This window comes from Homo sapiens, chromosome 22 (genome assembly GCF_000001405.40).
Source record: "Homo sapiens chromosome 22, GRCh38.p14 Primary Assembly".
Lineage (NCBI taxonomy): Eukaryota > Metazoa > Chordata > Mammalia > Primates > Hominidae > Homo > Homo sapiens.
Genome location: NC_000022.11, coordinates 46,019,429 through 46,034,442, shown reverse-complemented (window position 1 = coordinate 46,034,442; position 15,014 = coordinate 46,019,429). Strand labels below are relative to the sequence as shown.

At 51.9% G+C, this 15,014-nt stretch overlaps 3 annotated features.

The window, feature by feature from the left end:
- Positions 1,437-2,210: an enhancer, noted in NCBI's record as "H3K4me1 hESC enhancer chr22:46428113-46428886 (GRCh37/hg19 assembly coordinates)". NCBI's record gives its function as "activates a minimal SCP1, AML or CMV promoter by ChIP-STARR-seq in primed H9 embryonic stem cells {active_cell/tissue: H9 hESC(primed)}" and the evidence as "EXISTENCE:reporter gene assay evidence [ECO:0000049][PMID:30033119]".
- Positions 2,211-2,985: an enhancer, noted in NCBI's record as "NANOG-H3K4me1 hESC enhancer chr22:46427338-46428112 (GRCh37/hg19 assembly coordinates)". NCBI's record gives its function as "activates a minimal SCP1, AML or CMV promoter by ChIP-STARR-seq in primed H9 embryonic stem cells {active_cell/tissue: H9 hESC(primed)}" and the evidence as "EXISTENCE:reporter gene assay evidence [ECO:0000049][PMID:30033119]".
- Positions 5,130-5,683: an enhancer, noted in NCBI's record as "H3K4me1 hESC enhancer chr22:46424640-46425193 (GRCh37/hg19 assembly coordinates)". NCBI's record gives its function as "activates a minimal SCP1, AML or CMV promoter by ChIP-STARR-seq in naive H9 embryonic stem cells {active_cell/tissue: H9 hESC(naive)}" and the evidence as "EXISTENCE:reporter gene assay evidence [ECO:0000049][PMID:30033119]".

Sequence of the window (15,014 nt, the reverse complement as noted above, 5' to 3'; positions counted from 1 at the left end):
ACATTGTGAGAACTCATCTTTACAAAAAATTTAAAAATTAACCCTGTTGGTGGGAATGTTAGCTTTGTTGGTGGGAATGTTAGCTTTGTTAGTGGGAATGTAAAATTGTGCACCTGCTATGGAAAACAGTATGAGAGTTCCTCAAAAATGTAAATACAGAACTACTACAGGACCCAGCAATTCCACTCCTAAGAATATACCCCCCAAAATTGAAGACAGAAACACTAACAAATATTTGTACACTTCTGGTACAAAAAAGAAGCAGCATTATGCATAATAGACAAAAGGTGGAAACAGCCCCAGTGTCCATGGGTAGATGAACGGAGAAAGAAAAGGTGATATATATATATACGATGGAGTGTTACTCAGCTTTCAAAAGGAATGAAGTTGTGACACATGATATGACGTGGATCAACCTTGAAAACATGACGCTCAGTGAAGCAAGCCAAACACGAAAGGGCACATAGTGTACGATTCCACCTGTACGAGGTCCCGAGAATAGTCAAATTCATAGAGTCAGAAAGTAAAGCAGTGCTTACTGGGCACTGGGGAGAGCCGAGATTGAGGGGTTATTATTTAGTAGGTATGGAGTTTCAGTTTGGGATGATGAAAAAGTTGTGGAGACAGATCATGGTGATGGTTGCCCAGCAAGTGAATGTACTTAATGCTACTGAAATGGTAAATGGTAAATTTTGTTATGTATATTTTACTAGATACACACAAAGACATTTCTGGAGGAAAAAAAATAAAAGATATTTCTTAGATTCTGGTCCCAAGAATGCTTGCATGGAACAAGGCCTGCACACGTAACTAGCTCCTCCTGGGTGACCCTGCCTAGGTGGTTGGGGATGGCCCTTCTGGGGAGCCCAGCTCTGCATAAACAAGGTCCAAGCCAGGCCTCACACATCTGGCATTTTCCATAATAATTTCCAAGCTGGGAGAGAGAAAACTTGCTTTGGGGAAGCAGTGAGTCACTATGGATCTTTAACTTGGCCTTTTATTTCTGTGCCATTGAGATACACACACACACACACACACACAAACTGATTCCCTTTGCAAACATGGATGATACATGTTCGTCATCTGCAAATTTGCAAACATGGGAAAGCATCCCTGAGACCATAACAAATAGACAGAATCCCAACTCAGAGAAACACAGCTGACATTCAGGTGGATATTTGTCCAGCCTTTCTTGTCTATTTGTAATACATATTTAAAGTCATCGTGGTCATACGTCACATTTTACTCTCTGCACTTTCACTAATTTGCCACAAACAACTCATCTCTTTAAATATTTCTAGATCACACTTCAATGATTGCAGAAGAATCCGTTGTTCAGATGTCCCATATGTAACTTCTTTACCTCACTCTTGATGATTGGCTGTCTAGGTGATTTACAAACCTGCTGCTATGAACATCTTTGTCTAATAATTCCCTTGGTGTACTCCCAGGAGAATAATTGTAACTTCACTGAGGATTTGCTTTTTTAAAGGCTTTTGAATATGGTATTACCAGTCAGTACTCTAGGAAGGGCGAACAGATTGTTTTTGCACCAACATCGCGGGAGTGTGTGTGGACATGTTTTTTACACAGAGGTGTCTTATCCTACCTGGCAGGAGACCTGTTATAGCAGGAACCCCACTGTTGGGGGATGGGCCCTGGCTCAGAGGCTTTGGTCCATGGAGGATCGCTGCCTTTTTGTCTTTGCTGAGCAATCAATCCCAAAGACAGTGAGGTGGGGCAGGGAGAATCTGGGCTCTGAGCTCTGCAGGGACAATGACCCTGGATCCAGGCTCTGGACTCTGGGGAAGGCTCCACTCTGTGACCCTGGAAGCCACGGAATACTTTTAACTGCTTGGTTGCTGGTGCTGTCAGGACTGGGCCCTTTTCTCAGGTGTGGGTGTGACATGCCCTGCACATTTCCACGAGGCCCCTCTGGCTCTTCACTCTGGTGTGGAGGGCAGCCCCACAATTGCAGGCTCCATATTCCTTGATGCATCTTTGCTGGGAAGCAGGACCCCCGTAAGAAGCGGCCACGACTAGGATCCCCCTGCAGCCTCCCACCATCAGGTCCCTCCGTCACGGCAGCACAGGGGTGATTTGCAGGATATTCCAGTGGCCACCCCACTCAGCCCAGTCACACAGGGCCTCAGCCCCATACCAAGGCTGACCTGGGGTACCCGTTCCACATCTGTCAATCCTGAGCACAAGCCAGGGCCCTGGGGCCACCAGATGTACAAGTCCTGGCTGTTCTTCCTAAAACCTCCCCTGTAATTCAGCCTGGGCTCCTCCCCTCCCCATGGCCACACTTCCCCTCACCCAAATAGTGGCCTCCCTAACTGCAGCCTCCTCCCCCGGGGCTGGGCCGCTGCCAGAGTCGTTTCCCAAATCCACACAGGTCCTATCCCCACCTTAAAAAAAAAAAACAAAAACAAAAAACCGTTTTGTTTTAAGAACCAAAGCAGGGTTGGCCCCCTGCTTCTCTTTCCAGCCTCGCCACCACCCCCCACTTCCCCATCACTGACCACCAACTCCCCACCCCACCCCCCACTTGGCTGGGAGAGAACTCCTTGCCTTTTCTCTGCTTTTCCCTCTGAAGGGGATGCTCTTCCCACCTGCATGGTGATCAGAGCTTCTCCCCTCTTATTCCTACTGGGAATAACAACAGCAGCTGACACTAGTGAGCACTTACCATGTGAAAGGCTCCACTCAGCTACCGCCTCCTCCAGGGAGCTTTCCAGGATGGATCCCTTGGCCATGACAAGCCACTCCTGAGAAATAGGCTCTTCCTGCCTCTGGTTACAAGACAGCAAGGACTGTTTTTTTGTTTGTTTGTTTGTTTTTGTTTTTTTTGAGACAGAGTTTTGCTCTTGTTGCACAAGCTGGAGTGCAATGGAGCAATCTCAGCTCACTGCAATCTCCACCTCCTGGGTTCAAGCGATTCTCTGCCTCAGCCTTCCGAGTAGCTGGGATTACAGGCATGCTCCACCACGCTGGGCTAATTTTGTATTTTTAGTGGAGACGGGGTTTCTCCATGTTGGTCAGGCTGGTCTTGAACTCCCGACCTCAGGTGATCCGCCCCCCCCCCCCCACAACTTGGCCTCCCAAAGTGCTGGATTACAGGCGTGAGCCACCGCGCCCGGCCAAGGACTGTGTCTTGAGCGTCCTCGGTGCCTAGCCCAGGGCCTGACATGAGTGTTGAGTCACATCATATTTGGAGGGGCAAGTCCAGGACAACACAGCCTGGTTAAAGCGAGCGGCTGAGCACTGATACATGGGCTAGCACTGGTCGGAGATTATTCCAGACCTCACATTTCAAACATGTGATCATTTGGTAACAGGATAGCTTGAATTTTGTTCTTGACAAAGAAGGATTAAAAGGCAAAGGAAAGCTGGAAACAAGATTACAAATTCACGTCACCTAATAGAGCAGGTGTAACCAGTGTAACCCTGCCCCTAATCATCTTCAGGCCTCTCTTCAATGCTGAGCTGTCCTCAGTGGTCACCCTGGGCCTCCCAGCTCTGAGGCTGAGCGCAGGATTTCAATGCTAATTACTGATAGTACCCACTGTCTGATCAGCAGAACATCCACAGTAGAGCCTGCCCTTGGAAGGGAGGATGAATCTCCTTCTAGAACAATCTGCAAGGCTCAGTGTGGACGCTCCACTCAGGCTGGTCATGCATCAGGCATTCCCTCCCCCATGGGTGGCCCCAGGCTCATGCACACACAAGTTTGCTCCTTGCCTCACACTGTGGGGACAGAGGGCATCTGTGCCTTGTCCCCTCTTCTCTATTCTCATAAGCGTCCTTGCATCTTGGAGTCAGGATTGCTTGGGCCCAGGAAGTCGAGGCTGCAGTGACCCATGAGTGCTGGAGCTGCAGGCTGCCCCAGGGGCCTCCCCATGGTGGGCGCTCATCACACTGGCCAGCCCGATACTCATCTGGGTTGACCTCTGAGAACCGCCAGGTTAGAGGGCCTGAGTGCAGCCAGGGGACCAGCCAGGAAACCCACTTGGTCTAGGGGGTTCAGGAAACCTGTGGTCTGGGGCAGGAAGGGATGCCGAGAGGAGGCCACACCTATATGGAGGCCCAGCCCTGATCACGGTTCCAGCTGTTAGGCCGGATACCACCGCTAGCTGTTTTCCAACCATCAAATGTGAGGACCATGTGGCGAGTTTTCCATAAGGCTCTGTTTATCCAGCACAATGGAATGGCCTTTGCCCTGAGATTGTCTTCTTACTTTTTTTTTTTTTTTGGTTTAAAGATATTCTCTCAAAAAGGGAAATTGTAATTATTTTTCTAAAGGCCCTAACATGGAAAAATAGAAAGTTGGCAATCTTCCGTAGGTCTGCAATACTCCTTTGAAATTTGACCAGCCTGTGAATTCCGGATGTCTGAGAACCCCTGTCTGCATGCTCCCTGCAGAGGCCACCAGGGAGAGTTGCTGGGTCACTGCTCCCTGTTTAGAGCCTGCAGTGGCTCCCTATTGCCCTAGGATCTGCAGCCGAATTCCTTATCATGGCATCAAAAACCTAGGCAGGTGGGAAAAGAGAGGAGGAAAGGATCAAGGGCATCTTCCTGGAGGAGGTGGTATCTGAACCAAGCCTTGCAGGATGAGCTCATTGGCAAGTGGCAGGCTGAGAGGGCATTCCACGGGCAGGAGAGCACCATGTGCAAGACAAAGCTGGGGTGGCTGGAAAACAGCTGGGGGTGGTATCCAGCCAGCTAAGCAGGGACGGGGTTAGGGACGCATAGGAAACTGATGCTAGCAACACAGTGTAGGGAGGGTAACATCCAGGCTTCTAAGTGATTCTGTATTTTGAGACAGGGTCTTGTTCAGGCTGAGTGCAGTGGTGTGATCATGGCTCACTGCAGCCTTGACCTCTTGGGGCCCAAGCAATCCTCCCTCCTCAGCCTCCTCAGTAGCTGGGACTATAGGCGTGTGCCACCACGCTGGGCTAATTTTGTGTTTTTAGTAGAGATGGGGTTTCACCATGATGGCCAGGCTGGTCTCAAAATCCTGACCGCAAGTGATCTTCCCGTCTTGGCCTCCCAAAGTTCTGGGATTACAGGCATGAGCCACTGCACCCGGCCTTATTATTATTATTATTATTATTTTGTGGAGACAAGGTATCACACTAATGTTGCCCAGGCTGGTCTGGAAGTCCTGAGCTCAAGTGATCCGCCCACCTCAGTCTCCCAAAGCGCTGGGATTACAGGCAAGATCTACTGCGTCTGGCCCTAAGTGATTCTTAGAGCAGCGAGGTACATGTAATTATGTCTACTTCATATTTAAGGTTTGGAGGGAAATGAGAGAGGGCTGGGGAAAGGCCTCGAACCCCCAGGCTAGATTTTCTGCTGTCTGAGGGTCTGTCTGAGGCTGGCTTCTCTCCTTTGGTGCCCATTTCACCGCCTCACCTGGTCCCTCTTTCTTGGGCCTGAGACTGGCTGGGGCTGCTTGTCTATGGGGCCCAGGTTCTTGTGCTCTGGGGGAAACGCACCCTCGAGCATGATGCCCCCAACACTGGGGGCTGTCTCTGGTATCAGGTGGGGCCGCTGACTTCACACGTGCCAGGAGGAAAGTGCTACAGGAAGTTGTGGGTCCTTGGCAACCTCATGCCGGAGGCCCCAGGTCTGCAGTTCCAGTCTCTAGACCTCCTGATGGGCATCCTGGCCAGGCACTGTGTTCCTGCACACACCTTTCTGCAGAAAGACAACTTGCTCACTTCCCCAGAGGCTTGGGGGTGGGGACGTTCCTGTTGGACAATGGAGCCCACACACCCAGTGGGGAGCTCCCAGGAGAAGCCTGCTCCCACCTCCCAAGAAAGGCTCTGAGCCTCTTTCCAAGTACTGGAAATGCCAAATGCGGTGACCTGTCCCCATCCACCATCGTGCAGAGTGACCCACACTGGTGGGCCTTCACCTATCCAACTGTGAGGTCATTCAGTGCGTCCTGGGTGCCACTGTGCTGTGGGAATTCAGAAGTCCTTGCCTACTCGAAGCTCCCAGTCTAGCGGGTGGATGATAATATTGCCTGAGCAGGGCTACACTGTGGGAAGGATGATGATAAGGGCAGAACACTCTGAGGGCTGGTCCCAACGTGGAATGCTCAGCTCCGTTAGTCCTCAAGGCATCTCTGGAGACGGTGACCCAGACTCAGGGCTCAGGGTGACTGTCCCCAGGCCAGCAGGCTGGATAATGGCAGAGCAGGCGGGAGCTGGGGGAATGCCATCTTTACCACTACCTTCCCTGCACCTGCTGGGAGACCCCAGCTCTGGAAGTGCCTCTGGAGATCATGAAGGGCAACCTGCCTCATTGTTCAGGGGAAATCGAGGCTGAGAGAAGATGCCCCAGGCCCCACAGAGAGTCCTGTCAGAGTCCCAGAAGGGTCCTACGCCCCAGGCTCCCCAGCCAGCCATTCCTGCAAGGTGCACCCGCCCTTCTGGCTGGGCAGAAGGCACCCACGGCAGCCGGAGAGGGGGTCTTCTGGCAGGAGGAGTGGAGGTGGAATCGGGTGGAGGCACCTGGCAGCTAGGGTCGTGGGGAGCTCCTGGCAGAGTAAGTGGGGTCTCCTGGCGGCAGGGGAAGCTGGGGGAGGGGGCCTGGTAGGAGGGGGCTCCCGGCAGGGAACGTGAGGGGCTCCCAGGCCGGGCCGGGCCGCCCGCCCAGACGCGCTGCCAGGCTGATTAGCATGGGCGAGGGGCGCTGGCGCGGGGACGCCGCCGGCCGAGCTGGCACGTCCCTCGCGGGCCCAGCTGGCCGGGGCGAGACACAAAGCACCTCAGACGGTGGCGGCGCTCGGCCATTCACGCGCAGGGGCGTCCCGGGCGCGGGCGGCGAGGAATTCCCGCCGCCGGGGCGAAGACCAGCCCCGCCCGGCGCTCCTGACCTTGAACCTTTGTGACTGGAGCGCATGCAAATCGCGGCGGGGCCGCGCCAAGCCCCGAGGGCGCTGCGCCGCCCGGCGTGTCCGGGGAACAATGCGCCACTGTCCCCACGCGGCGCCGCGGGCTGGGAACTGCGCAGAATGTCAATGCGGGCCCCCGGCGCGGCGGGGCGCGGCCCACGGGCGCGTGCGTGTGCGGGTGCGTGCGGGTGTGTCCGGGTGTGCGCATGTGTCCCCGTGTTGGCCCGGGCTTAGCTGGACCCTGGGCCTGGTCCCGGACCCTGCGGCCCTGGCGACCCTCCTGGAGAGAGAGTCCCTTTGCGACCAGGTCCAAAAGATCTTAGGCCCTTGGAGGTGACTGCTTCTCCCTCCTTCCTGCCCTTCTTATTTTTCTTTTATTAGGTTGATTTTTAAAGATCCTGTAAATGATCAGTAAGGAAATAAAGGCTGCCCCCAATGACTGTCCCAACCCAGGGAGAGCTCTGCTGCGTGGAGAGGAACTCCCTCGCCTCCTCTCTCCCCTTGGGGCAAATTCTTCCTCACAGCCCAGGGTGAACTTTCAATTCAGCGTCTTGACTTTTTCCTGGAAAATAACATTTGTCATCAACCTCTTACCAATGTCCCTTTTAAAAACTGCATGGTACTGTTCTGTGCTGTGCCACAGTCCCTGCCACTGGGTTTCCCGGTCACAGGGACAACAGCTTGTCAACAGGGTCTTCCGGGGCCGTAAGTGGATGTGCAAAGAGAAAGGACAGGGACCTCACCAAGAGCTGCTAAACTACAATGTGCTCAACTGAGCCCAGAAAGGCGCCAGGCCCACATGTGTGTCCTGCGGCACCCCTCCCCACCTGCTCAGACATGGTTTAAACAGACAAGACAGAAAAAGCACACGTGCCAGGTAGGCAGCTGCAGCTGATTTTTATGTACATGTGCCTGACCAGGTGATTCCAGCAACTTCTGTAAATTTGGATTGGGCACATTTGTGATAGGTGACAGAGCCACAACCCAGAGTCTGATGTCCCCGCCCCGCAGCTGACTGGCGACCCATCACTTGTCCTCCAGAGACTCGGTATCCTCACCTGATTAGGGGTCTGTGAGCACTGCCTGCCCATCTTGCAGAGGCAGTGGCTGTGAGGGTCCCTGCGCACACGCACACCTGTGTGGGTGGGGAGCGTGCACACAGGTTCATTTCTGCCAAGGTGCTGGGGAGCTCAGCTCTGTCATGGCAAGGGCTCAGGACAGGAGGAAGAGGTTCAGAGAAGGCGATCTTGGGCAAGATGCTCCCTGTCTGGGCCTCAGTTTCACCAGAGCTAAAAGAGGAGGTTGTAGAGACGCTCTCTAAGCATCCTTCCAGCTTCTCCAGATATACATGAATAAGATCACTCTTTCAAGGATGGGGATGGTGTACAGGGCTGGATCCTTCCCAGCCAGGGTGCCTGGGATTATTGGCTTTCAGCAGCCGACTCACGGAGGCCTCCTTTGGGCTAGGCACTGGGACAGACCCCTGCCTCCCCAAAGGCATGAGACCCTGGTCTGCCATTTGGGAGCTCAGAGCCTGGCTAGAGGCAGGAGAGGTGAGGAGGGAAGATAAGGACACAGATGGTGAATGTGGTGAGAAAGGAAGCATGAGGGGGTGGGCATGGTGCATGGGAGAACAGAGGAGGCGATGGAGGAGTCCAGGAAGCCTTCCTGGGAGGCGGTCGCCTGAGCTGAGCCTCAAGGAGTATGAGCAGCTTCTCAACAGGAGAAGAGAGTGGAGAGCACTTTGGGCAGAAAGTTGCAGGCAGAGGGAGCATTCCAGGCAGAGGGAGCATTCCAGGCAGAAGGAGCACTGCAGGGAGAGGGTGCACTCAGGAAGCAGGAGCACTCAGAGAGAGAGAACACTCCAGGGAGAGAGAGCAAGAGGGTGCAGGGTGCACTGCAGGGAGAGGGAGCACTATGGGGAGAAGGTGCACTCAGGGAGCAGGAGCACTCAGAGAGAGAGAACAATCCAGGGAGAGGGAGCAAGAGGGTGCAGCGTGCACTGCAGGGAGAGGGAGCACTCAGGGAGAGGGAGCACCCAAGGGAGAGGGAGCACTCAGGGAGAGGGAGCACTCAGCGAGAACACTCCAGGGAGAGGGAGCAAGAGGGTGCAGGGCGCACTGCAGGGAGAGGGAGCACTACAGGGAGAGGGTGCACTCAGGGAGCAGGAGCACGCAGAGAGAGAGAACACACCAGGGAGAGGGAGCAAGAGGGTTCAGGGTGCACTGCAGGGAGAGGGAGCACTCAGGGAGAGGGAGCACCCAAGGGAGAGTGAGCACTCAGGGAGACGGAGCACTCAGAGAGAGGGAGCACTCAGGGAGAGAGAACACTCCAGGCAGAGGGAGCAAGAGGGTACAGGGTGCACTGCAGGGAGAGGGAGCACTCCAGGGAGAGGGAGCATTCCAGAGGAGGGAGCACTTAGGGAGAAGGAACATTCTGAAAGAGGAAGGACACTCAGAATTCACTTTAAAGAAATCCTTTCCTTGGGCAAATTGTCCTATTTCTTTGCATTTACAGACATTCTGCCTCATGGGTAGCCAGCAGGACTAGAAACACCAACATTAAAATAAAATATAGAAGTTGGTCCAGCTAAAGGAAATGTCAGGGTGGGAAAATGAAACGGGGGAAGAGGGTGAGTTGAGTTAAAAGAAAAAAAAAAAAAAAAAAAAGCCTGCCTTGAACTCCTGAGGAGTCGCAGGTTGGGAGGCCACTAATTTCTCAGTCCCAAGATTTGAGTGCCTTTAAGGAGAAGCTGGTTGCACAAGAGATGGGCAGGTTGATTCTGGCCCCAAAAGCTGGAGGCCTGTGAGCTGCATGGCATCAGGTCCTCACCATGGCCCCCTAACATCAGGGCAGGAGGAATATGGGGTGCACCTATCAGGGGCTGGCTGAGTGGCGGCTGGGCCCTACCTGCCAGGTCTGCTGCTCTCAGAGTGGGCAAAACCAGGAGAGGAGAGGAAGCCTTGATGTGGCAGGACACACTGCATAGTGCACTCTAGGGTCTGGAGGACACCTGGGAAGGGAATTGGCTCAGACTTGGGAGTCAGGGATGGCTTCCTAGAGGAAGTGATGGTGAAGAGTTGGTCTAATTTTGGCAGGGAGGTAAATCGCTGTAAAATGGAAATAACAGCAGTACCAACCTCCCAGGGTGGGTGAGGAGCAAGCAAGCCTGAAGCACAGTCAGTACTGGTGGCCGCAGCACAGCTTCCGGGTCCTCATTTTGCTGGAAGTCTGGCTGTTCCAGAGGCAAGGCTGGGACATCCTGAGGGTGTCTGGGAGGGAGATCCAGTTCTGAATTCTTGAGTCCTTTGTACTCCTACTAGTAAAATATAACTTCTGAAATGAAATTTATGTCATGATTGATGGATCTTCACTCCCAAAGACATGCTTGGAAAACAAACAAAAGCTTAAAAGGCTGCAGCCCCGAGGTGACTGCTGTGTTGTCAGCCTCACTGACACCTGGGCACCTTGGAGAGTCGGAGCTGGACAGGGCTGTGGTTTCTGGTGGACAGAAGGGGAGACTGAGGCTCTGGGCTTCTGGTCTAAAGCCAGGATGGGCCAGGGTGAGAACCAGTCTCCCGCCTTCTCGGTCTTTCCACTACTTCACCGGATTCCTCGGATATTAGCAATGGAAAAGCCATCCCATGTTTGGGAAGGAGCGAGTCATACTTTCCATCCTGGCTTCTTGCGAACACCTGGGTCTCAGTGAGTCCCCCACCCATCCCACGCAGAAAAGCTGGGCTGCGTCACCCAGGGGGCGGTTAATGAGGATGCTTTGGTGGTGCTGACATCACGGACAGGGCTCCTGTGTGGATCGGCCGCCTGGGCTCCAGCTGGCAGCCATGTGACTTGCCCCCTTGGCTGCCATCGCCCCAGGGAGGGGCCTTGGGCAGAGGGGCTGGCTCAGTGGGCAGCTGCCAGGGCTGGTGGGGGCTGACCAGAGGGTATTGGCAAAGTCTTAGAGGTTTCCGGGCCCAGGAGAGAAGGAAGGGAGTGTGGACACTCGGCCTCTGTTTCACGGCATCCTCCCACCTTTGACCTCAGTGGTGCGAGGGGAAGGAACCAGCCCTGGAGCCGCCTGCCTGGCTTGACCCTGGCTTGCTACTCATGGTCCCGTGTGCCTAGACAAGCTGTTTCACCTCTCCAGCCTCAGTTTCCTTCTGTGTGAAATCGGATAACAATCGTAGGGTGTAATGTGGAAACTGCAGGGAATTAGGAATTAGGACGGTGCCGGGCACATAGTAAGTGCTTAGTAAACGCTAGCATCCTGGAGTCTCCCTCCCTCCACACCCAGGCTGTTTTGACCTGTGCTCTGTACTTCTGTTCGCCAGGCCTGAGGTCCCAAACTGCAAACTGCTCCATGTGGATGGGCTGGGGGCTTCCTTTCTGCCTTATTCCCTCCCTCTCTCCCTCCTTTTCTTCCTTCCTTTCTTCCCTTCCCTTCCCTTCTCTTCCCTTCCCTTCCCCTCCTTTTCCTCCTTCCTTCCCTTCCTCCTTTCTTCTCCTCCTTCTTCATCTCTCCTGTCTCTCTCTCTCTCCCTTCCTGCCTTCTTTCTGTAAACTTGATTACTGTCTGCTTCTGTGCTGGTGTCTGTGCTACTTTCTAGAGACAGAAAGTAAAATTAGACAGATATCGACTCTGTTATTCTGTGCTTACAATCTAGTACAAAGCAGCAGGCATTGGCTAAATCAGAGCAGTACTGTCCAACAGACATTTCTGTGTGCTTGAAATGTTCCATATCTGGACTTTCTAGTGAGACAGCTACTAAATGCATGGGACTGTTAAATACTTGAAATGTGGCTCGTGTGACCCAGGAGCTGAATTTTAAATTTCATTTAATTTTAATTAATTTGCATTTATATTTATTTATTTTTGAGACAGGGTCTCACTCTGTTGCCCAGACTGGAGTGCAGTGGTGTGATCTTGGCTCACCGCAACCTCCGCCTCCCAGGCTCAAGTGATTCTCCTGCCTCAACCTCCCAAGTGGCTGGGATTACAGGTGCGCGTCACCACCACCCAGCTAATTTTTTTATTTTTAGTAGAGATGGGGTTTCACCATGTTGGCCAGGCTGGTCTTGAACTCCTGACCTCAAATGATTCACCTACCTTGGCCTCCCAAACTGTTGGGATTACAGGTGTGAGCCACTGCCCCGCGCCCAGCCTGCATTTATATTTAAATACTAACACGTGGCTAGTGGCTACCATATTAGATGGCACAGATTCACAGTTATACTCCCATTACATCACCCTGTATTATTTCTCCATAACACTTATTATAGTTAATTTAAATTTGTGAGTTCATTTTTTTGTACTCTGTCTTTCCACAATGGCGCGTACCATAGTCTGGTTTCCTTGGAAGCAAAGCTTGAGACAAAGACTTGTCTGCAGACATTTCAGCTGGAAATGAGATTCCTGGGAAAACCAATACAAGGACGTTTCACTGAGTCAGTCACAGCTGCAGGAGGCTCATACCTGCTCCTGACGGGGGTTTCTGGGGGATCTCATGAAATATATCTCAGAACTGACCACCTGTGAGAAGAAAGAGAGCATTTCTCCATCAGCTCAACTTGCCACCAGTCAAGGTGGTTCTGTAGACATTAACTTCCAGCATTCCCATGTTGCACGAGTGTGACTGCAGAGGGCTCCACCAGGACCACTAAGTCGCATATTCAGAGAAGCACCTGGACAGGAAGCAAGAGATCTCCAGCATGGGCCCAAGGCAAGGCACTGTCTGGCTGCTGGCACCCACATGAAGCTGGATGAAGCCACTGTAAGACCGGCTGTGGTGGGAATGGCTGGAGTTGGGGTTGAGAGGACCTTGAAGTGGAGCACAAGAGGGGCCTGGTGTAGTCCACCCCTTGCCTCCCTCACATGTGCATGTGAGTCTTTGATGATGTCTAGTCTGCCACAGAGTTCCCTTCAAGGTGGCAGCCAGCAGCAAGATCTGTAAGTTCTTAAAACACGATTATTAGTGGAACAAGCTATAGTCTCCACTGCTGCAGCTGGTCTGAGGTCGTGATCGATAACCTCATCTCAATCCTCCACCACAATTCCAGATGAGCACTTCCATGGGCCTAGGCTGTGTGGCAGTGGCAGGGCCCTCGCCTTCCTCTTTGGAGGGTCTGAGCCCTCATCTGCATTTGCTTTTGCTGGCTGTGGTTGCTGCCATTGCCAGGTCCCCGCTATGACCACCTTGGAAGTGCCAAGAGGCGCTGCAGTGAATTATCTGGTTCTGAGACTGATTCCTCCTTGCCCCGAAGCCGAGCTTCTCTTGAGGTCAGGGTCAATGACTCTGCCAGGATGGTGACTCCTTTCTTTCACTGTTGGTCCACTGGCATGAAGAAGCCAACATGATCAAGAGGTCATTGAGGCCTCAAGATCAGTTGACTCTAGTTTATTGCTTGGTGGAAGAATCCCCCTGTGGGAACCGGAACCTTGAACTTAACAAAGTCAAAGGATGTGAGACTGGTGAGAGAAGTCAGTCTCACCTCCTGGACTTAAGCCTTTCCCTTGGTTCCTGGACCTTTGTATTCTTAGTATGGGGGACACAGTACCGCATGACAGGGTTGATCTCCCACCCTTTGGCATTGAAGAGTACTTGCCACTCACTCTTCACCAGATTTTGAAGGAATGAGCAATAGGTATCTGAACAGAATGTAAGTTCCACAAAAACAGAATTCTTGTCTGCATTGTTCGCTGCTGTACCCGCAGCACCTAAACAGTGTTGGGATCAATATAAGGACTCAATAAATATTAGCTAAATAAATAATTTCTAGTGGGATTTAATATCAGATAGTCAAATTATAAAGCAAACATTTTCAAAAACTTATGGGGCTGTCACTGGAATAAGTAGATCAACAGACAGAATAGAAAATGTAGAAAGAGGTAAAGGTATGGGATATGTTTTAGAGATGGGATCTTGCTATATTGCCAAGGCTGGTCTTGAATTTCTGGGCTCAAGTGATCCTCCCACCTTGGCTTCCTAAGTGGTTGGGACTACAGGCATGTGCCACTGTGCCCAGCTTGTTTGGGTACACATTTTTTTTTTTTTAAATAAGGGATGGATGGAGCAACAGGCAACCATTGAGAAAGATGAAATGAAATTAGATCCATGTCTCTCTTCTTGTACCAAAATAAATTTGAGATGGGTTAAGAATCTTAAGGTAACAAAAAAATAAATAAATAAAAAAAGAACCTTAAGGCAAAAAAAAAAATGAAACCATAAATACACGAGGATAAAGTATACATAAATATTTACCTAATTTTGAGGTTGAGAAATATCTTCCTAAGCAGTGAGACTCACATCAGGGCCACAAAGAAAAGAATGGAGAATATATATACGGTTTTGTTTCCATGTGTGGGAGGAAACAGTATAAGCAGAGTGAAAAGGCAAACAACAAACCGGGAAAAACTATGTGCTGGACAAAATCCTTCTAACATAAGTGTATTAGTCCGTTTTCACACTGCTATAAAGACATACCCAAAACTATGTAATTTATTTTATTTATCTATTTATTTATTTGAGATGGAGTCTCACTTTTTGCCCAGGCAGGAGTGCAGTGATGCGATCTCGACTCACTGCAAACTCTGCCTCCCAGGTTCAAGCGATTCTCCTGCCTCAGTCTCCTGAATAGCTGGGATTACAGGCACGTGCCACCATGCCCAGCTAATTTTTGCACTTTTTAGTAGAGATGGGGTTTCACCATGTTGGCCAGGCTGGTCTCAAACTCCTGAACTCAAGTGATCCACCCACCTCGGCCTCCCAAAGTGCTGGGATTATAGGCGTGAGCCACTGTGCCTGCCCAAGACTAGGTAATTTATAAAGGAAAGAGGTTTAATTGACTCAAGTTCCACATGGCTGGGGAGGCCTCAGGAAACTTACAGTCATGACGGAAGGCAAAGGGGAAGCAGGCACCTCCTTCACAAGGCAGCAGGAGAGAGAAGTGCAGAGCGAAGGGAAAAGAGCCTTTTATAAAACCATCAGATCTCGCGAGAACTCACTCAGTATCATGAGAACAGCACGGGGGAACCACCCCCATGATCCAATCACCTCCCACGAGATTCCTCCCCCACCACATGGGTATTACAGTTTGGATTACAATTCAA